This window comes from Homo sapiens, chromosome 12 (assembly GCF_000001405.40).
Source record: "Homo sapiens chromosome 12, GRCh38.p14 Primary Assembly".
Lineage (NCBI taxonomy): Eukaryota > Metazoa > Chordata > Mammalia > Primates > Hominidae > Homo > Homo sapiens.
In genome coordinates, this window is record NC_000012.12 from 128852 (window position 1) to 149875 (window position 21024).

The following is a 21024-nucleotide window of genomic DNA, read 5'->3' on the forward strand; positions in this document are numbered from 1 at the left end:
TCCTCGGGAAAGCCTCTGATGGCTCCTCACGGTGTGCAGGACAGAGGCCTCTCCAGGCTCCCTGCCACAGTCCCAGCCCCATGGGGGTTCCAGCCGTTCCTATTTGCTGTCCCGAATCTCAAGCCACCCTCACCTCTGGGCTTTTGTGTGGCTTTGTTTCCTCTCCTGGGGATTCTCCTCACCTGTCCCCGACCCCATCTGCTGCATCTGGAAGACTTCTGCTCATACTTCAGGTCGCAGCCGAGGCACGTGCTTTTACCCATTGCCTGTTGCCTCCTCTGTGCTGTCTGGGAGTGGGAGCTGTTCCGCTCAACAGCATGGACCATGTTGTTCTCAGGGCTGTGTGGAGTTGAGCAGGTGGTGCTCGGGACACCTCCAGGGTGCTGCATAGCCCACGTGAAGAGCCAGCGCTCCTGGAGCTGTGCCCTGGGAACTGTCCTGTCCTTGCCCATCTTTGCCGCCCTGCACCTTGCACAGTCTTGGGCACCTAGGAACTGCTCAGCAGGGAAGGAACATAGGAATGAAGGCACAAGTGAATGAGCAAACGAGGCCTACCCTCCAGCTTCCTGTTCTCCCTGCTGGCCCCTTCCCCAGCACCTGTCACAAGTCGCACAGCAAGACGGTCCTCCTGCCAGCTCTTCTCCCCTTCTCCCTCTGCCTTCGACCCTCTCACCCCACCCCAGCAGTCCTGGGGGATACAACCTAGGGCAGGCCAAGGAGTGAGCATGCAGGTCCCTTTGGGGAGCCCTTTAGGAATAGAGGGCCTAGGTGTCATTTTGAAATTCCTCCAAGCCCTCTAGGGAGTTTGTGTCCTGTTGCAGAGCGACTGGAGCCCTTCTTAGCCATCTGAATTGCAGAGCCCTCTGGGCTGCTCAGGCCAGAGGGCTGTGGAGTTGCAGTCAGTAGAATCTGGGCCCTGCTCCCCGAGCCGGGTCCTGGACAGAAGCCATGTTCTGCTGGAGAGCAGCCCCTCCCCACAGATCCCCATACCCCAAGCCTCAGGGTCCAGCCTCACTATGGGGCACCTCTTCAGGAAGATGTGGTGGCTATGTTTCTAAGTCACTTTCCCTCTTTGCATCTTGGTTTCCTCATGTGTGAACCAAAGGCTGTACCAGAGGGCCTCCTGGCCCCTTCCCACGCTGAAAGTGAGATTTCTACCATGGGCACAGAGAGCACCAGGGCACCAGCCTACAGAGGACAGTGGTGAGGACAGGGCACTCCATGGGTTGTCCCTCTCCCCGGTTCATTCAGTTCAGGGAACAGCACTGCACAGCTGCTCTGTCGCAGGCCCTGTGCTAGGCCTGGAGATGCTATGATGCAAAAGATACAGGCCTAGTCATCAGGGTGCCCACAGCCCAGTGGTGGGCAGACACGGGGCCAGCACCAGTGTTACTACCTGAGCACTAGCTCTGTGTCAGGCCCAGGCTAACGGTTGCCATGTGTTATCTCCCCGGGTCTGCACAACGTCCCCGTGAGATTGGCACCATTACCGTCCCATTTCTGGAATGGGAAGATTAAGGCTGAGTGATGGTGATGTTAAGTAACTTGCCCAAGGACACAGTCCTAGGAAGTAATGCAGCCAAGACATGGACTCCGCAGCCCATGGTTTCGACCCTGTACCTTCCACCATCTCTTGGCATTACAGTGAGGAACAGGCCCCATGGAAGTGGCACACAGGGTCTGTGGAGCATGAGGAGGGCAGGCAGCCCAACCTGGGATCAGAGCCAGCTCCTGGGGCAGCCCCACTGGAGGGTCTCATGACCTCACTACTAGCTGAGCCATAGCGTGTCCCCCATGCCTACCTGGCTGCCCACTCCCAGGCAGGCCTCAACGCCCTGCGTGTCAAGCACTTGCTGTATTCCAGACAGCAGGCTGGGAGGAGGGCACACAGAGCAGGCATGAGTCCCCTGCCTTGCAGGAGGCCACAGCCCTGCCCAGCACAGACCCAAGGCTCCTGTGGGCCTCTCTGAACACCCCCAAAGCACCAGCTTCCCCAGTCTCTCTGCTCCTCAGCCTCACACCCGGGCTCGCCAGGCCAAGTTCTGGAGGCTCACAACATGCTGTGCTTTCATGGTCTCAACTGGGAAGTCTTGGATGGGAACAAACCCTTGGAAGCCCCCCACACCTCCCCGCGATCCTCAGCACTGTGCCCCCCAGCTAGCGGCTCTTCCTCCCCACACCTGGCCCCCGCTCCTCAGCACTGTGCCCCCCAGCTAGCGGCTCTTCCTCCCCACCCTCTGGCTTGGCCGCCATCTTTCAGCGGCCTCTTCAGGCTCAGCTGCCACAGCAACCTGAAAGAAGGGGGCACGTTCTAATTAACACTGAGAGGCTCATTAGAGAGACGGAGGCCCCCGCGCCCCTGCCGCTGCTTCTTCTGGCAGAAGCTGAGAAATTGCTCTCTTGGCAGGGGGCGAGGCCATCATTCCTCCTGGTTCCTGGGGTTTAGAGGGAAGTGAGCAGAGCTGCTCCCTGGCCTACAGGCCCAGAGACCCCCCACTCCCTGGGGCTGCCTACCCTCCCGCACCTCTCTCTGCTCTCTGACCTGGCCCTGGTTCAGAACGGGATTGGGGTAGACGGGAGGGCCTCGCTGTCATGGATGGAGCTGACCTGGGCCATTACTGAGTCCCCAGGTCCTGCCAGGATGCCAGGGTGGGAGGAAGGATGGAGTGCTGGGTTCCAAGCCCCGGCCTGGACAAGAGTCTGGAATTTGATTTCCCTGGGGTCACAAGAGAGAATTCAGTTTAGTTCATGTCTGCAAACACTTATTCAGCCTCAGCCACAGGTCTGGCACAGCACTGGGCACAAGAGATGCAGAGACAGATGTCTTGCCTGTGATGGACAGTCCGCAGCGAGAGCTCTGAGCAGGGGGTGGCACTGAGCATTGAGGGTGGGGAGGAAGGTGGCACTGAGCATTGAGGGTGGGGAGGAAGGTGTAGGGGACAGTGCAGGTTGGGGGCCTGGCAGGCCCAACTCTGGGATCAGTGGGAGTTGGTTGATAAATGGGTTAGGACACACGATGGTGAACCCGGAACTGAATTCCAGTGTTATTCAGGGAGCAGTTGCTCCATGCCAGTTAAGGTGCTCGGTGCTGGACAGGATGACTAAGACATATTTGATGCCGTGAATAACTTATGCTCTGTTGGAGCCTGGGGGAGGGAAAGGGAGGGAAGGATGGGTTGGAGAAATGCCACAAAGATTAGTGGAGGAGACTGAGTGTCAAAGAGAAATTGGGGCCCGAGGCAGGGAGACCCCGTCTGTTCGGGGCATTGAGAGGGCTGCATGGAGGAGACACATTTGAGATAGGTCTCGAAGAAGAGGACATTTCTACCTGGAGGAAAGGGGAGGCTGGGAGTTGAGGTTGGGGAGAGCATTGCAGGCTGGGAGAGAACACAAATGAGTCCCCAAGCAGGGAGCCTCGTGGGGGCGGTCGGGGGAGAGCAGGCAGGAGCTGCTGAGCAATGTGGACTTTGTGGAGTAGGACTTTGTGGCCCAGCCAGATTGTTAGGGTTGGAAAACCAGGAAGAAGCGTTTTTATCTGTTTGGGGCAATGGTTCTCAAACAAAGAAAAGCCTGTGTTGACACCTGCTGTCTGAGAGCTTGGGTCTGGTTCTGCAGTGTAAGGTGATGGTGGGAGTAAGAAGGACACAGAGATAGTAAGGATGCTGCTGGCATGGTCCAAGTGGGAAGAAAAAGAGCCCTACGTGGTGACATTCTGGAAGGATATCATGGATGATTGCAAAAGGTATAGGGGTGGGGGGTCCCAGGAGCTACAGGAGGCTGACAAACACAGTGGACAGGGCAAACGAAAACCCCAGGACAAGGCAAGTTTCCCAGGCTGGGTGCTTGTCAGGCCAATAAGGAAGTCAACAAGAGCTGGTTTGGGTGAGGTAGGGAAAACAGTGGCATAGCCTAGATGGACAGAGGATACACAGGCTGCTGGAAATGTGGGTCTAGGATCAAGGCTAGGTATGGAGGCTTGAGAGTCATTCCCATCATTGTCACTGTCACCATTAAGCAGCTACCACTTATGAAGCTCCTGCTCTCTGCTGGGTGCTCCATGAAATAATTTAATCCTCACAAGAAGATACAGGGTCAGCAGGATAAACCCCACTTAATAGATATGAAAACTGAGAGTCAAAGATGTTAAATTCATCCAAGTCCAATCAGCTGGGATCTGGGGCTGGCCATTCCCCTTACTTGCCACTTGCTCACTGGCCCATCAAAGTAGAAGTTAAGAGAGTGGACTGGGTCCTCAGAGGGAAGGCAGACAGGGCTGAGAAGGTATCCACCTGGGGAGCACGTTTACAGTGACCTGGAAGGCTCTGACTGACACAGCTCCCTTCTTAATTCATTGTTAATTATCACCCATCACGGGCTCCTCTGATGATGTCCAACACAGAAGCCGTGGATGATGTCCAGAGTGTACGGGGAAAATTAAAACGTGTGGAGACTGGCAGTGGCACCCATGTGACTCGTAATCAGCACACGTAGGGGTTTTGTGGCCAGAATACAGGATTAAGGGGTTGTAGGGAGACAGGACAACCAGGATAGACTGAGTCATGAGCACTGGGGAGAGTTGCAGAAAGGAGCCAGGAGGGAGGCTGAGGAGGCCCCTGGGGCTGAGTGACAAGCCCCAGATCTGCCTCTTCCTTGCTGGTTGGCCTTGGATGAGTTTAACATCTCTCGCCCTTGACTGAGATGGGAGGCAGCAGGACCCAGAGCACAGGGCTCAGGGCAGGGTTGGGTCAGCATCTGGCCTTTGCTCCTGGAGTGAGGCACAGGTTAGTGTTCTGGAGGTTCAGTGTAAAATAGGAAGAAAGGGAACAGGCTAGGGCAGGGTTGGGTCAGTATCTGGCATTTGCTCCTGGAGTGAGGCAGAGGTTAGTGTTCTGGAGGTTCAGTGTAAAATAGGAAGAAAGGGAACAGGCTAGGGCAGGGTTGGGTCAGCATCTGGCATTTGCTCCTGGAGTGAGGCAGAGGTTAGTGTTCTGGAGGTTCAGTGTGAAATAGGAAGAAAGGGAACAGGCTAGGGCAGGGTTGGGTCAGTATCTGGCATTTGCTCCTGGAGTGAGGCAGAGGTTATTGTTCTGGAGGTTCAGTGTAAAATAGGAAGAAAGGGAACAGGCTAGTGCCCCAGCGGCAGCGGAGTCAGCAGTTACGCTGTAGCCTGGGGAGATCTGTGGCCAGGTGCAAAGCTGCAGATAGGACGAAGGAAATGGGAGTAAAAAGAGCATGTGTAGGGTGAGCTGAACACACAAAGGAGGCAGGAGCGGGAGAGCGTCTGCTGAGTCAGATTAGGAAGGTTTTTGAGAGTCACAAATATAACTTTGGAATTAATTTGTCGAATACACACTCATTGAAGGCCCACTATGTGCTGGGCACTGTCCAAGCATTGGAGGAGATAGCAGTGGCCACGGCAGGTGAAATCTGCCCTCGTGGGACTTGATGTCTAGTAGAGGATGTGATGGGACAGATGCAAGAATTTAAAATCTGGTTTTCTTTCCTGCTTGGGTGAAGCATAGACATTGCCCAGTAGTACACGGAGTCTCCTAGGGTTATGTCAGCTGGTCTTCTGCCTTCAAGCAGGATGATACCATGCCAAGGGCATGGACCCCATCACCATTTTGGAAGCATCTCAAGCAATGGATTTCATACCTTCCCTGTGTTGCCAACAGCATCTCGTGCTGCAAAAGGATGCTCTTGGGCCTGGGGTTTTCCTAGAAGTATAAATAGGCCAGACGGGAAAGAAATGTGAAATCTGGCCGGGCGCAGTGGCCCACGCCTGTAATCCCAGCACTTTGGGAGGCCAAGGTGGGCGGATCACCGAGGTGCCAGGAGTTCAGGTCCAGCCTGGCCAACATAGCAAAACTCTGTCTCTACTAAAAAAAATACAAAAGTTAGCCAGGCACAGTGGCACATGCCTGTAATCCCAGCACTTTGGGAGGCCAAGGTGGGGTATAAATAGGCCAGACGGGAAAGAAATGTGAAATCTGGCCGGGCACGGTGGCTCACGCCTGTAATCCCAGCACTCTGGGAGGCCAAGGTGGGCGGATCACCAAGGCACCAGGAGTTCAAGTCCAGCCTGGCAAACATGGCAAAACCCTGTCTCTACTTAAAAAAATACAAAAATTAGCCAGGCACAGTGGCGCACACCTGTAATCCCAGCTACTCAGGAGGCTGAGGCAGGAGAATCGCTTGAACCCAGGAGGCGGAGGTTATGGTGAGCCGAGATCGTGCCACTGCACTCCAGCCTGGGTGACAGAGCGGGACTCCATCTCAAAGAAAAAAAAAAGAAATGTGAAATCTGTCAGTTTCTCATGGTGCTTGAATAGGGCTGACAGACAGAAATTGAGAGAAAAGGAGACATTTTAGTGATCAGTTCCCCTTCCTCTCTACATTTCCCCTTGGGGAAGGACTTTCCTGCCTGAGCCAAAGCCAAGTCCCTATTCCAGGCCTCAGGGAATGTGTCAAAGTTCAGCAGGGAGAATGAGCCAAGCTACATTATTTCCACAGGAGCAGGAACAGAATGCCTCAGAGGCAAGTATCTGTGTCTCTTATGGGTGCATGAGGTCATACCTAGTAAAGATCAAGTGGGGAAGTGTCCAGTTCGTACCGTGGGCAAAATTCTCAGATGGCCCCCAAGTCCCCTTCATGCTAGTGTACACATCCTATATAATCCCCTTCCCTTGAGTATGGGCAGGATGAGTGAATGTGATGGGACATCACTCCAATGATTAGGTTACCAATTGGTTGATTTTGAGTTAATAAAAAGAAACATCACCCAGGGTGGGTCTGAGCTAATCAGGTCAGCCCTATAAATGAAGCTGAAGCCCCAGACAGACACTGTGCCGTTAGCCTTGAAGGACCAAGCTATCAGGTTATGAAGCAGGCCACATGGTAGGGGACAGCAGGCAACCTCTAGTGACTGAGGGCCTAAGTCCTGTGATTACAAGGAATTGAATTGTGCCAACAAGAGCGAGCTCAAAGGAGGACCCCACACCTTAGATGATATTGCAGCCCTGACTGATATCTTGGTTTCAGCCTGGTGAGATCCCGAGCAGATAACCCAGATGAGCTGTGCCCAGACTAGATTCACAGAGCTGCATGAGAAATAAACAGGTGCTACTTTAAGTGGCTGGATTTGTGGTCATGTGTTACACAGCAATAGATGAGGAATACACTTGGTGTGGTTTAGAGCACCTTGAAGACCCCTCCAATAGGGGGATTGTGATAGCACTGGGAGCTTCCTCCTGCTCAGGGCCTTGTCCCTCATGAAATGCAAGTAACTTTGGGAGAAGCCATATAGGAAGGCTTAGTTGCCATTTACACATTAATCTGCGTGAGTTCCAACGATCTCCAAGGGTAGAGTTGGATGTTGGGGGAGACAGAATGATGTCCCCAGGTTTGGGAATGGGGAATGGGAATGGCCAGGCTGGAAGCACTGGAGGCAAGCACTAAGGATGTCTCATTTTATCTGGGATTGTCCTTGGGGATTGGGGTTGAATCCACAAGGTGTCCTGAGCTAAGAGGCTACCTCTGCTAGCGTGGAATGGGGCACCCATCACACCCTGCAGGGAGGGAGCAGAGGGCACGGCTGGGCTGTGGGAGGCAGGCATTCATTCTGGCTGCAGCCTTTGGGGGCTCCAGTGGAGCAGGAAGCAGGTTGAAGTGTTGTGCTGAGGGATGAAGTATGGCCTTTCTATCTGTACCCTCGCCATCCATGATCCCTGGAGAACAATCTGTACCCTCCCCACCCATGATCCCTGGAGAACACGGGACGTCCCTGTTCTTGCCTTGAGTCGTTCATCTCAGCGCACCCATCCCGATTCTTCGTTCATTCGGGAAGGACACCACGTGTAAGTGGCATGTCTGGTTGTGAATAGGAAACACTCGCACTTCCCAAACTTCTCTGAGGGCTGATCAGAGTCTAGGATGCCACCATTTAAGCCCATCACCTTCACACAGGCCTTGTCCCTTATTTAAAGGCAGAAGCCTCTGGGGGCATGGCTGTCATACCTCCCCAGTCCTTTCCTGAGAAGTTTCCATAGGGAGGAAAAGTGAGAGCGTAGCAACCTGAGAGGAGAAAACCCACGGACAGGAGGACAGAGCCGAGAGGAGGCACGCTGGCCCCCTGACAGAAGTTTTCCTGGGATCAGATCTGCCCAGGTGAGGTGCCATGCCCCCGAGCCCACCCCACCCAGCCCTGCCCTGGTTGGACAGCTCCCACCGTAAGAGCAGAGGTGACTCAAATTGGGGAACTCTTGGTAATGGTGGCCTGGAGGGACCCCCATTCTTGAGACACCCACTCAACTTTTTAGCAAATCCACGTTTACTGAGCAGCTAACTATGTACTGGGAACACACAGATGGTCCAACCCCAATCCCGACCCTTCTGATGTTCCCAGGGAAAGGAGCCACCCCAACACAGAGACATGGTTGCTGGGGAGGAGCAGGGAAGCACGAGGAGCTGTGAGGGTTTTTAGCATTTATGTTTTTCATTGTTTAGGGGAGGAGCGGGGAAGCACGAGGAGCTGTGAGGTTTTTTAGCATTTCTGTTTTTCATTGTTTATTGTTTTAAAGTGTGCACAAAAGTAGAAACGACAGTGTTATAAACTCCCCCGTAGCTATCATCCAGCTGTAACCATTTTATTAATATTTATTAACATTAATATTGTGTCATCTAACTCTTCCACATTTTTTGACAGAATATTTTAACACAACTTCAAGATATCATGCATTTTACCCATAAGTACTTCTGTATGCATCTCTGACATGAACTTAAAAAAAAAAAAAAAAAGAAGAAAAGAAAAGAAAAAAACAGAGACAAGGTCTCACTGTTTTGCCCAGGCTGGAGTGCTGTGGTACAATCATAGCTCACTGTAATCTCCAACTCCTTGGGCTCAAGCAGTCCTCCCACCTCAGCCTTCCCAGTAGCTGAGGACCACAGGCGTGCGCGCACCAGGACACCCAGTTAATTTTTTTTTTTTTTTCAAGAGAGAGACAAGGTCTAGCTATGTTGCCCAGCCTGGTCGCAAACTCCTGAGCTCAAGCAATCTTCTCTCCTTAGCCTCCCAAGATGCTAGGACTGCAGGCCTGAGCTAATGCGCCCGGCCATGAACATTTTGTAATACCCGCCACAGCATCGATATCTGAACGCCATATGCAGCACCTCCCTCCTGGCCCTTGAGACATCACTAGTCCCCAGAACGGACCCCTCCGTCCTACACCTCTAGGAGTCTTGCCACGTGGCCAGGACGTTCTAGGCGGTTCAGACTTTAGCTGCCCAGGAGCGCCCCCCCGCCCCCGTCCATTCCTGGGCCCCACCCGAGTGTGGCCGGGTGACTCCACCACTCCTCAGAAGGGCTGACCACCCTTCCCCTCTGAGCCCTTCCTCCTCTCTGTCCTCGTCCTTGCAGATTGAAATGCTAGAACATAAGTACGGCGGTCACCTGGTGTCCCGGCGCGCCGCTTGCACCATCCAAACCGCCTTCCGCCAATACCAGCTCAGCAAGAACTTCGAGAAAATCCGCAACTCGCTTCTGGAGAGCCGCCTGCCACGGCGGATCTCCCTGCGCAAGGTGCGGTCACCCACGGCCGAGAGCCTGGCGGCCGAGAAAGCGCTCATGGAGGGCTACGGCCTCGTGGGGCTGCCGCTGGTGCGCTCGCCCTCCCTGCCGCCCACCTTCGCAGGCACCCTCACCGAGCTGGAGGACTCCTTCACCGAGCAGGTGCAATCCCTGGCCAAGTCCATCGACGACGCGCTCAGCACGTGGAGCCTCAAGACCATGTGCTCCCTGCGGGAGAGTGGCGCTTACCAGCTCCACCAGGCCCTGCAGGCGGCCGCGGGGCCCCCAGGCCTGGAGGCCGAGGGGCGGGCGCCGGAGAGCGCGGGCCCCGGGCCCGGGGATGACGCCGCGGAGACCCCCGGCCTGCCCCCGGCCCACAGCGGGACCCTCATGATGGCTTTCCGGGACGTCACGGTGCAGATCGCCAACCAGAACATATCCGTCTCCTCCTCCACGGCTCTGTCGGTGGCCAACTGCCTGGGCGCTCAGACGGTCCAGGCCCCCGCAGAGCCCGCGGCGGGCAAGGCCGAGCAGGGCGAGACCTCTGGGCGGGAGGCCCCGGAAGCCCCCGCCGTGGGCCGGGAGGACGCGTCAGCCGAGGACTCATGCGCAGAGGCTGCGGCTAGTGGGGCGGCGGATGGGGCCACAGCCCCCAAAACAGAGGAGGAAGAGGAGGAGGAGGAGACGGCGGAGGTGGGGAGAGGGGCCGAGGCCGAGGCAGGCGACTTGGAGCAGCTGAGCAGCAGCAGCACGTCCACCAAGTCCGCCAAGTCAGGCTCGGAGGCGTCGGCCTCCGCCTCCAAGGACGCCCTGCAGGCCATGATCCTGAGCCTGCCGCGCTACCACTGCGAGAACCCAGCCAGCTGCAAGTCGCCCACGCTCTCCACCGACACCCTGCGCAAGCGGCTCTACCGCATCGGCCTCAACCTCTTCAACATGTAAGTCAGCCCCGGCCCCCAGCCCGGAGTCCTGGGCGTCCTGGGAGGGAGGGAAGGAGGAGGGCACCTTCCCTCCACCAAGCAGGGCGCCAGGTAACTTCCCACGTCATGCCAGGGTCCTCCAGGCAGGCGCATCTGTGCCGTGCCTGATCCCTGAGGTCATGTTTAGGAAGTACATATTTTATTTTAATCATCCTGAGTTTATTTTAAGAAAGATTAAAGGAAAAAAATAACACATCAGACACATGCTTTCACAACTGTTACAGCTTAAGATGAAGCTAGGGTTTGAAAAGTAAGAGAATGTAAAAGAAAAGACAGTATTAAGTAAATAACAGTCCAGGCCGTTTGAGGATTACGCAGCAATCATTCGGGTGGATATGAAGCCAGGGAAAACGCATTAGCTCCCAGGGTTGGTGAAATGCGAGGCTGGGTGGGGGAGGGAGGAGAGGCGCCTCGTAAAGAATGCCGGCTGAGAGCAGGAGAGGGGAGGGCTACGAGGAAGAGAGAGTGTGAAGCAGGCAGAGGCACAGGAGAAAGAGAACAGGGGAGAAATGACCGACCGCCATAGCTCAGAGACCCCAGCGAGACCGGGACTGGTCCTGCACCGAATGTATACAGCCAGTCCCAAGCAGAGGAAAGGAAGCACACCTGCCCCTCCCATGGAAATGTCAGGTCCAGGAGGCAGGCACTCGCCTCCATCCTCCACTCGCCCCTTCATAACCCTGCGCCAAGAGCACATCTCCCCGGCCCTAATGCGTGTTCATTCGTTCATTCGGCTGTTATTTATTGGGTGCCAGGCACTGTGACCACAGAGGTGAGAAGGACACATCCCCTGGCCTCAAGAGGCTCCTATTCTAGGGGAAGTAGCTACTGTTCATAGCTCACCTTACATAAAGCATCTGTAATCTTCCAGCAGTATCTACACAGAGGTATTACCATGCTGTTTTACAGAAAAGAAGCCGGCTCACACCAGTAAGGCGAAATGCACACGATGAAATAGCTAGTACTCGGCAGACCTAGGGAAAGGCGGATCTGACTCTGAACCACTCCCACTTCTGCAGTGTCTCTTCTGCATGCACATGAAAACTCATACAGACACTCATCTGCCCCAAGACAGGAATTCTTAAACTATCCATAGTGAAGAACCAGTTTTGTTCCCCCACACCCTTCTGAAAATACATTGTGGGCTAATACTTTTGTAAAATACAATAAAAATGAGGTGCTAGAAAGACAATCACATGCCTGGCTGTCCCGGAAAATGTCGAAATGCTATGGGAGGTTCTCAGTGCTTACCTTGTGTTTCTGTACTTATCTCCTCCCGGACCTGTGAGGAACAGCTCAGGGAGCAGCATGGCTTCAAAGCTTGCAAAGGGAAGAGGTGGTGTGGCGGAGGTCTCACCTCTGTTTCTCCCACCCTCTCTCCAGGGTTGGGGCGTCTGCGGTGGGGACCTGCATATTGACAACAGGATATGGGTAGGGGGAAGGGCAGGACTGGGGTAAGACCCAGGAGGCAGGGACAGAGAAGGGTACTTCTCCTCCATCTGCTCTGGAATTCACTTTGTTTGCAGATCTCCCCTGTCCTCCTTCTGGTCACACACCATCCTCTGCGTGAGGACATTCAGTGGGTTGAGGCTCTGGTGAGAGAAGCTTCAATGGGGAACTGGATTTCCAAGAACCTCTGGGTACTTCTATGGGTGGAAGACAGGGAGGAAAGAGTCATGGATGGCTTCAGCTCACTCTCTACTGCTTCTCCCCACCCCCACCTCCAGAAACCCCGACAAGGGCATCCAGTTCCTGATCTCACGCGGCTTCATCCCGGACACCCCCATCGGTGTGGCCCATTTCCTCCTCCAGCGAAAGGGCCTCAGCCGCCAGATGATTGGAGAGTTCCTGGGCAACAGCAAGAAGCAGTTCAACCGCGACGTGCTGGAGTGAGTACCCCACACTCCGGGCTTTCCCCACTCCTTCCCACACCCCACCTGCCCGGGCTCTCTCTGTGAGCTCCTTGGTGAAATCCTCGCTCCAGTTCTAACAGCTTCCAGCTTCCAGATTGTCCACAGGAACCAGAATCCCCTCTTTAGCCCATCACCCCAGTGGGCCGGAGCCCTGTCTCCCGTCAGAGTCATTGATTGAGTTCGCCCCAGGCCAGGCTTCGTTTGAGGCAGCAGGGATACAGAAATGGTCCAAAGAGACAAAAAGCCCTTTCTGCCTGTCACTCTCCAGGGCAAGAGAAACCAGGAAAAGGAAAGGGCTTGTGTCAGCACTGGGGTTCATCTCTGCCTGGTGAAGAGCCCCTCAGCCCCCCTCCCCCAGGACCCTCCCATTCTCCAAGGTTCATTTTCATATCGCTGGAGGCAAAAATGTGAGACAGAAAAAAGAAGGGGTTAAACTGAGGGTTTTAGAGCAAGAAAATACTACAATTCCATAAAGATAAATCTACCAACAAAATCATGACCAAAGAAAAATTGTTTCTTTAAAACCAAAGAAAATGGTTTTAAAGTCCAGTAGCAGGGTGGGGACCCCCAGGGGGCTGCCTTTGCCCCCGCTCAGCCTTGATAGTGTGGACAGGCAAGAGTCTCTTCACACTCATGCCTTGTCCAGAATGGCAGGGCGGGGCTGGCGCTCCTCTGAGGCTGAGGGGCCTTGCAGCTACTCCTTCCCTGGGACATCGGCTTCAGCCCCTGCCATGCCCCCGTGCTCTTTCTGGCTTCCACTGGTCCCCGAGGTTGGCCTCCTTCTTGAAGGTCTCCATTCTTCAGGGACCCTCCCTCATTTCTCTCCCCTCTTTCTCCTTGGGGACAGTCAGCAGAAGTGTCTCCCCGGAGGCCCTGGGAAGAGCTCTCCCTTTCATCCTCGCTCCTGGAGCAGCAAGGGACTGCCAGAGAGGGTTTGGACGCTGGGGGAGTCATCCACCCAGTGGTCAGCTTCCCTGGAGTGGGAGCTTGGATATTTCACTTCTATTTATGGAGCTGTCTTGGTGCTGTGTGCCCATATTGAGAAGCCCCTGTCCTCTGGGCCTGCGTTTCCATGCCTGCAGAGTGGTGCTGGGTTGTGAGGGCTGGACCCATTGCCCTCTGAAATCCCTGTCACATTTCTAAATCCACTGACGCGGTGGTTTTCTGACTGAGTTCAATGAGTGAGGGCTGGGGTTCGCACAGGTACCTTGAAATCCCTGCACAGCCCTCAGCTGGGCAGAACTGAGTTCCTGTCCCTGACTCTTGGTGGCTTTTGACAATTTATCATCCCTCCTGGAGCTGCTGGTGGAGACGCTCTGTGGACCTCAAAGAGGAAAGAGAGACAATGCTAGGCAGCGCCTCCCTCTCACCTCCTTTCTCTTCTCCCTCCGGCTTCCCTTCCCTTCCCCAGCACTGCTGTGGGGGCCCATGGAGGTGCTACTGGGATCCAGGATACATCTAGGTTGCAGAAGGGGAGAGATGGCATTTCCTCACGCCCTTCCTTTTCTGTGTCCCCTAGTTGGCTCATCTCTCTGGCTTTCCTGCACTGTTGTCCCAGTCCATCCCTTCCCAAGCCAGGGTGAGGTGCTGGCCCCGTAGCCCCAGGCACCCCTGCTGTCTCTCTGCTCTGGGGGCAGGAGTGACTCTGCTTCACCCACAGGCCCTGACTGTTGTCTGTTTTCTTCTGTCTTTCCCAGTCTCCATGTGGCCTGCGCCCTAAATTCTAACCTGCAAGGCCCACATTGATCTGGAGTGCTGGGAACACAGCGTTTTCCTGCAGCCCAGGTGGTGCTGAGTCGCACAATGGAAACTAATTGCCCTCTTCCCTGGGAGGCTGCGTGTATGGGCTGTGGGCTGGAGGCTTGGAGCAGTGGCTGCAAGCCTGTGCTGAGGAGGGGAGCTGGGCTGGGGGCTGGGGGCTGGGCTAACCTTAGGTAGGGATCAGGCTTGGGATGGGTAGGGGCCAGACTCCCGCGTTGGTACACTCTTCCAGTGAGAAGAGGCAGCGTGGTGAGATAGGAGAAATAGCTGGACCCGGGCTCTGCTCCTCTGTGCTGTGTGGCTTTGGCAGGACACCTCTCTGGGCCTCGGTGTCCTCATCTGTAAAATGAGAGGGCTGGGCGATGTGATTGCAAAAGTTTCTCCAAGTCCTGAGAATCTACCACCTTTCCCATCTCTTAGTGCATTGGTAGCACTGCCCTAAACACTGGGGCATGATTTGTCATCCTGCCAGAGCAGCCCACAGGCCCCAGGGCCGTGCTGGGGTGCCAGAGTTCATGCAGGGCAGTGCTGGGGTGCCAGAGTTCATGCAGGGCAGTGCTGGGGTGCCAGCGTTCATGCAGGGCAGTGCTGGGGTGCCAGCGTTCATGCAGGGCAGTGCTGGGGTGCCAGGGTTCATGCAGGGCAGTGCTGGGGTGCCAGGGTTCATGGGGGAATGAGTTGGCCATTTGTTATTCATTCAACAAACATCGAGCACTTATTTATTGTGTGTTGAGAATGGGGCCACGCTGGGCACCCGTGTGTGTGTGTGTGTGTGTGTGTGTGTGTGTGTGTGTGTGAAGAGGCATGGCTCACAGTCTCAGGGAACGTACAGACCCAGGTGTGGATGGGGAGAGGTGAGAAGCAGGAGCATGGAAAGAGAGTGAGAAGAGCAAGGGGCCTCCAGCCGGAACCCTGGCTTGGGCAAGGTTGAGTGCAGAGCTAAGCCCTGATATGCCCTGGTGAAAGCCGCAATCCCTCATGCTTGATTGTGTAGCCCTGCAGGCCTGGCATGCTGACTCAGCGCCACAGAAAGGAGCCCCTCCCTGAAGTCCATAGGTCACTGACTGCCTTGCTTCTCTCCGAGGTGGAGAGGGCCCTGTCCTGCAAAGGGCAGGAGAAGATGGAGAAGCAGAAAGTGGCAGGCACTAGCAGGGGAGGGGGGCGCTGGAGTCTTTGCATTTCCCTTCCACTCTGACTGTGTCTTCCTTACTCCCGCCGGAGAAAACACACACACTAACCGAGTCGCCAGGTGCCATTTTGCCCAGGCCTGGAAGGCTTCACTGGGATTCTATACGGCTCCCCTGCCCCCGCCTGGTGACATTCAGCAAGCGGTATTCATTCTGTACAAAGCTGTTTGCCGAATAAAAGGATATAAATCACCCATCCCCTTGGAGACTAAAACAGCCCAAACCGCAGCACTCTCCCAAGAAGCAGCCGATGAGGAAGAGCCGATGAGAAAGCCTCTGAGAGGGGAAGGGTGTGCTTCCCAACCGTCAGGCCTGTGCGGAAAGGAAGAGGAGGGAGAGAGCAGCTGCCACCTCGGCTGCTGGTCTGTGTCTGAGCATCATGAATGCTGTGACATTTGCTTTCAGAATTCGGCCCTCAGCGCTCTTGGAAGCTGACATCTCCATCCTTTTGTATCTTATTTTCACAGAAGACACATTCCAAGAAGGAATGTATTCTTACCAGGCCTTATCAAATGACAATAATAGAAGGCATTCTGAGCTCAAAGAGCCACACCCATTCCAGTGTTTACCTGCAAAGGTTTCGCTTTTGGTTTTTTTGAGACAGAGTCTTGCTCTGTTGCCTGGAGTGCAGTGGTGCAACCATGGCTCACTGCAGCCTTAAATTCCCAGGCTCAAGAGAACCCCTCACCTCAGCCTCCTGAAGAGCTGAAACCACTGGCATGTGCCACCACACCTGGCTAATTGTTAAATATTTTTGTAGCGATGGGGGTCTCACTGTGTTGCCCAGCTGGTCTCAAACTCCTGGCCTCACACAGTGCTCCCACCTCAGCCTCCCAAAATGCTGGAATTACAGGCATGAATCACTAGGCCCAGCCTGTTTGTTTTTAGAGAAGAAATCAGCCTCAGTTTCCTCATTAGTAAAATGCTGGTAAGAGTACCTGTCTCATATGAATCAAACGTTTTCAATGTACATGAAGTGCCTGATGCTTAGTAAGTTATCTGTAAATGTTAGCTCTTTCTTTTCTTTTTCTATTAGAGACAGGATCTCTCTTTGTCACCAGGGCTACTGGGCAGTGGCATGATCAAAGCTCGCTGCAACTTGAACTCCCGGGCCCAAGTGCTCCTCCTACCTCGGCCTCCTGAGTAGCTGGGACTACAGGCTAAATGTTAGCTATTTCATTATTATCTTTTCTACTTAAAAGCACAGACATTAGAACCCTCCACTCCCCGCCATCCCATTCCCCGCGCACAAGGAAACCTCCTCAAACATGACTCAAACTCAGGTCTACTAGGCAGACAATGAGAACTTGCTGGAACTTGCTGGGCTTTGCTGGGAAGGGGGTCAGCTCAATCTGGGGAGCATCCTGCAGCCTGAGGAAGCCCGGTCCAGAAGCTGAGAGTCACGCGGTGGCAGGCCAGCGGCAGGAGCCAGACAGCAGCCAGAGCTAGGGCCCTCTAGGGCTGGAAGCCTCTCCCTCTCGGTTTTCACATGGCTGGGGAATTTGGCTCTGCTCTATTTCCTTTCTGAAATGTTCGCTTCAGCAGGTTTAAAGTCCAGCGGATGGGGAACGTTCCATGCTGGCTGTGAGCGGCCTCTTTCTGGCCTGGATGATTTTTTCTGGTGTGAATCCCATGCACGTGGAGAGCATTGGTGTCTACCATCTCCATGAAATGCAGGAAGGCAGCTTCTGGGTTGAGCTGCCGGAAGAAAGCTTCCTGGGTGTTCCTTCCCTCCACTGCGTCTGCTCCATCCTTTGTTAAATTCCAAGACATATCAGGGTTTGACGTTTGGGTCAGATTTCATTATTTTATTTCCATGGAAATATGTTGGCCAGAGTATAACAGATTTGTTCTTCTTAGAGGACGTTTAGAAATGAAGACAGATTGTCTGTCAAATTCAACAGTCTGGAAGGCTCTGGCCTTTCATTGCTAGGAAGAAATCATTTGAGAATGTCCTGCCCACATTGCTGTGTATAATCTCAGTTACCTTATTCCTGAGGAATTCCCATGAGGAAGGGGAGAGCAGGCTGGGGCCCAGGCAGACCTTATGTGTCCGGAGGAGATAAAAAGAGGCCCAGGCAGGGATTGTGGCTCACACCTGTGGTCGCAGCACTTTGGGAGGCCAAGGCATCAGAATCACTTGAACCTAGGAGGTTAGGGCTACTGTGAGCTCTTACGGCACCACTGCACTCCAGCCTGGGCAAAAGAGACCTCATCTCTACAAAAAAATTTTTTTTAAGTAGCCAGGTGTGGTGGCGGGCACCTGTGGTCCCAGCTACTCGGGAGGCCAAGGCAGGGGAATCACTTGAGCCCAGGAGATGGAAACTGCAGTGAGTTGTGACCGTGCCACTGCACTCTAGCCTGGAAGCCTGGACAACAGAGTGGGAGCCTGTCTCAAAAAAGAAGAAAGAAAGAGAGAAAGAGAGAGAGAGAGGAGAGTGGGAGGAAGGGAGGGAGGGAGGGAGGAGGAAGAAAGAGAGAGATAGATAGAGAGAGACAGAGACCCAGTGCAGGCAGGCAGGAATAGAAGAGTTAGGGTCATTTCCACTGCTTTGGAAACGGTACACTGCCAGCACCAGAAGGCTGGAAGGAGAACATCTTCAAAAGTGGTGTCTTTGGGGTTATGGCCTTGACCCTTCACCTCTCCACTCTCTCCTGCCCCACTCCCACCACAGATAGACAAGGGATTCTCCTGAACAGTCAACAGTTGTGAGAGTTTAAGACCTACTTACTTCTGTAGCTGGAGACCTTGGGACCTTCAGTCCAGGATTGAGACTCCCTTTGGCTTCGTCACTTTGGCATATAAATTGGACTTTTATATAAAAATGGACCTACCTGCCACCCAGTCCTCCCCTGACTACTCAGGCCTTTGCTCTGGAGGAGTCAGTCTCCTCTGTGTGATAGCTGTGGCTGCAACAGGCCACTCGGACGTGGGCCTTCTAGAAGGGTCTTCCGGGGTGTCACTGTCTCCAGGGCAGGGCTGTCATATCTCCAGGAGGGCCGTTTGTGACCAAGCAGGCCGTGAAATATTATGCCAGCTCACACAGATCAGCATGTGCTGTGTGCCACAGGTGCTGTTCTGAGAGGCTTACATGCAAAACCTCGTTCCATCTTCACAGCGACTCCGGGAGGGACGTGCTGCTAATCTGTACCCAATGAAGGCACTGAGGAACAGAGAGGTTGGGGAGCTTGCCCACAGTCACAGAGCTGATCAGTGGCTGAGGTCTGAAGCCAGGCACAATGACTCATCACCTGAGCCCTTAACCCTGCACCATCCAGCCTCCGTGCGTCATTCCAGGACCCCTGTGGTCCGGTTGCTCTCACAGTCCTTGTCAGTCCCCCATCATGAATCATGACACTGAAGACCCCTTAGACAATCAGCTGGTCCAGCCCTCTCATTTTACCCTGGCAGAAACTGAGGCCCTGGGGAAAAGAAATGACTAGTCTCCTGGCCAGCGGCAGAGAAATTGAACAAAATCAGGTACTCTCCCACCTCTTACCTTGGCGTTATTTGCTATGCCCCGATCCTCTCAATTTGGGAAGAAAGCACAGCTGAGAAACTGATTCGTAAGTCTCAAGAGGTCTGAGCCAGATTTAGCTTCCTCTCTCTGGTGCATGTATATCTTAAAGGGCCGACGGATGGCTGTCTAATGATACAATTCCAGGCAGAATTAGTCGGTGGGGCAGGGAGGGGTCCTGTCCACTGACAGGCGGGTCAGCCCACACCTAATGAAAATGATCATGTATTAAGCCCTGTTGTATACCAGGAACTTCACACCCACTGCCTCCTTTAACACTCATAACACCCCTGCCCAGTAGATGTTCTCAGTGTTGTCTCCATTCTCAAGGTGAGGAAATGAGCCACCAAGAGGCTCCATGACTTGAAGTAACAGCTCCACGGCCTTTTCTTAATCCACCCACTGTTATTGGCATAGAGCAGTGCTTCCAAAAGGTGGTCCCTGGACCAGCAGCGTCAGCTTCACCTGGAAGCTTGTTAGCAATGCAAACTCTCAGTTCCCGCTCCAGGCCCACTGAATCAGACTCTGCGGCTCGGGGCCCAGCAATCCGTGCACTAATAAACCCGCCACGCAATTCCAATGCATCACTCAGTTTGAGACCCACCAGCAAACAGGGATGCTGCCGAGCCCAGCAAAAGAAAAATCAGCTCAGGGCTTCTAAATTGTAAGGGTAGTTTGAACTTAGTTCTTTGGGTACCTGAGTCTCAAGGTGTGAGTGGCAGCCAGCCCTACCCAGGCCCCCTCAAAAGAGAGTTTCTTCGTCCTCATGACATCACCAGGAACACTGGCAGATCCTGCATCAGCTTCCTTCTCTTCTATTTTCTTAGCCGCATCGCACTTTGCCAAAACGCCTTGACCTTTGTTGAGCATGTTATGAATTCTGACGAATAAAATAACTCTCTGGAGGATGGGGATATTTTTAATTGAATTGTAGAAGCCAACAACTGCCAAATAAAGCCAGGGTTTCTACATTCCGTGGCAATAGGTGGTTTAGATTTCCTTCCTAATCCTGAAACCTGGGCTTAGTCTCAGCCAGGAGCACGAGCTAGGGCTTCACCTTCCAGATCTTCGCCGTCTCTTCCAGCCAATTAAAAATCCCTGCTGCTACCATTACCTATTTTCAGCTCCCAACCAGTTCCTTTGTCTGCCAGACACTGTCTTGCTATCATTAAAAAAAAAAAAGAAGGTTGAGATGATGAAATTCATTTTGATCACAGGCGTGTAGGACGCTTCATTTCCCTGCAACACAAACTGATTCCACGCACAGATCAATGTTAACAAGCAATTTTATGCAAGATTGTACCTGTTTCTTCAGAGGCAGGGAACATACATCCTTTTTCCCCAACGCTTGTGAGGTATTTGCTGCAGACCTTGCAGAAGCTCACAGGAAAGAGGGGGAGGCCTTAGCAAAACCGGTACCACTCGTGATCCACGCGCCCGTCAGCAGCACCTCCTGAGACAGGTCCGGTCATGCCTGGCTGGAAGCGGTCTAATCGGTGCCCATTGCTCTAGTTCTCAGCACTCACTCACTTGCATGTGCAGTGGGAGGAAGGGGGCCTATGCCCTCCACACTGCCTCACTGCCTGGAGTCTGGAAGCCTCGGGGCCATTTGCAAGTCCATCACAGGTCTCGGTGTCAGCTCCAGATAATCTTGGCAGCAAAGCAGGCTGAGTAATCCTGGGCCGTTGGGTAGAACTTCCAAAGGCACAGGCCACTGAGGCTCCTTCTCCAGCTGCCGGCATGCAGTCATTCCTGGTCATCTCTCACTCACTCATTCATTCATCCCACAAAACAGTGATTGGGTGCCCATACACCAGGGAGGCAGAGATTAAAATAACTGCCCTATCTTGAAGGAGCCCGTAGCCTCGTGGGGAAGACAGGCAGGCAAATGTTATGACACAGGGAGATAAACGCAATGGTCGACAGAAGGTGGGTTCCGGGGACAACGGAGGTCAGGGAAGACTCCTAGAGAGGATGAGAGCTAAACAGAGACCTGCAGGGTTGGGGCTGGGCAGCAGGAAGAAATAACAGCATGCACCAAAGTGGGGGCGTGAGAGCCAGGCTGCAGGGGGGGACCATGCTGGGGAAGCGGCGAGAGAA

General features: G+C 54.0%; 1 protein-coding gene and 1 long non-coding RNA gene across 8 annotated transcripts in view, besides 2 other annotated features; one reads left to right on the forward strand and one right to left on the reverse strand.

Moving 5' to 3' along the window:
- IQSEC3 (IQ motif and Sec7 domain ArfGEF 3) overlaps nt 1–21024 on the forward strand; it is a 111689-nt gene that overhangs the window by 62085 nt on the left and 28580 nt on the right. For all 7 annotated transcript variants that reach the window (NM_001170738.2, XM_011520958.3, XM_011520960.2 and 4 more), the window contains 2 exons: nt 9416–10503; nt 12273–12434. In NM_001170738.2, coding sequence (NP_001164209.1) covers nt 9416–10503; nt 12273–12434 — 1250 coding nt within the window. The remainder of the gene's footprint in view (nt 1–9415; nt 10504–12272; nt 12435–21024) is intronic.
- On the reverse strand, nt 8560–20318 carry IQSEC3-AS3 (IQSEC3 antisense RNA 3). The gene is made up of 10 exons (NR_033859.2): nt 20228–20318; nt 15458–15718; nt 14388–14558; nt 12483–13782; nt 12061–12393; nt 11797–11952; nt 11389–11519; nt 9700–9793; nt 9449–9601; nt 8560–8776 (listed from the first exon to the last, which is right to left on the reverse strand). It is a non-coding gene; the product is annotated as an IQSEC3 antisense RNA 3 (long non-coding RNA).
- Nucleotides 16314–16815: an enhancer, noted in NCBI's record as "H3K4me1 hESC enhancer chr12:254331-254832 (GRCh37/hg19 assembly coordinates)". NCBI's record gives its function as "activates a minimal SCP1, AML or CMV promoter by ChIP-STARR-seq in primed H9 embryonic stem cells {active_cell/tissue: H9 hESC(primed)}" and the evidence as "EXISTENCE:reporter gene assay evidence [ECO:0000049][PMID:30033119]".
- Nucleotides 16816–17315: an enhancer, noted in NCBI's record as "H3K4me1 hESC enhancer chr12:254833-255332 (GRCh37/hg19 assembly coordinates)". NCBI's record gives its function as "activates a minimal SCP1, AML or CMV promoter by ChIP-STARR-seq in primed H9 embryonic stem cells {active_cell/tissue: H9 hESC(primed)}" and the evidence as "EXISTENCE:reporter gene assay evidence [ECO:0000049][PMID:30033119]".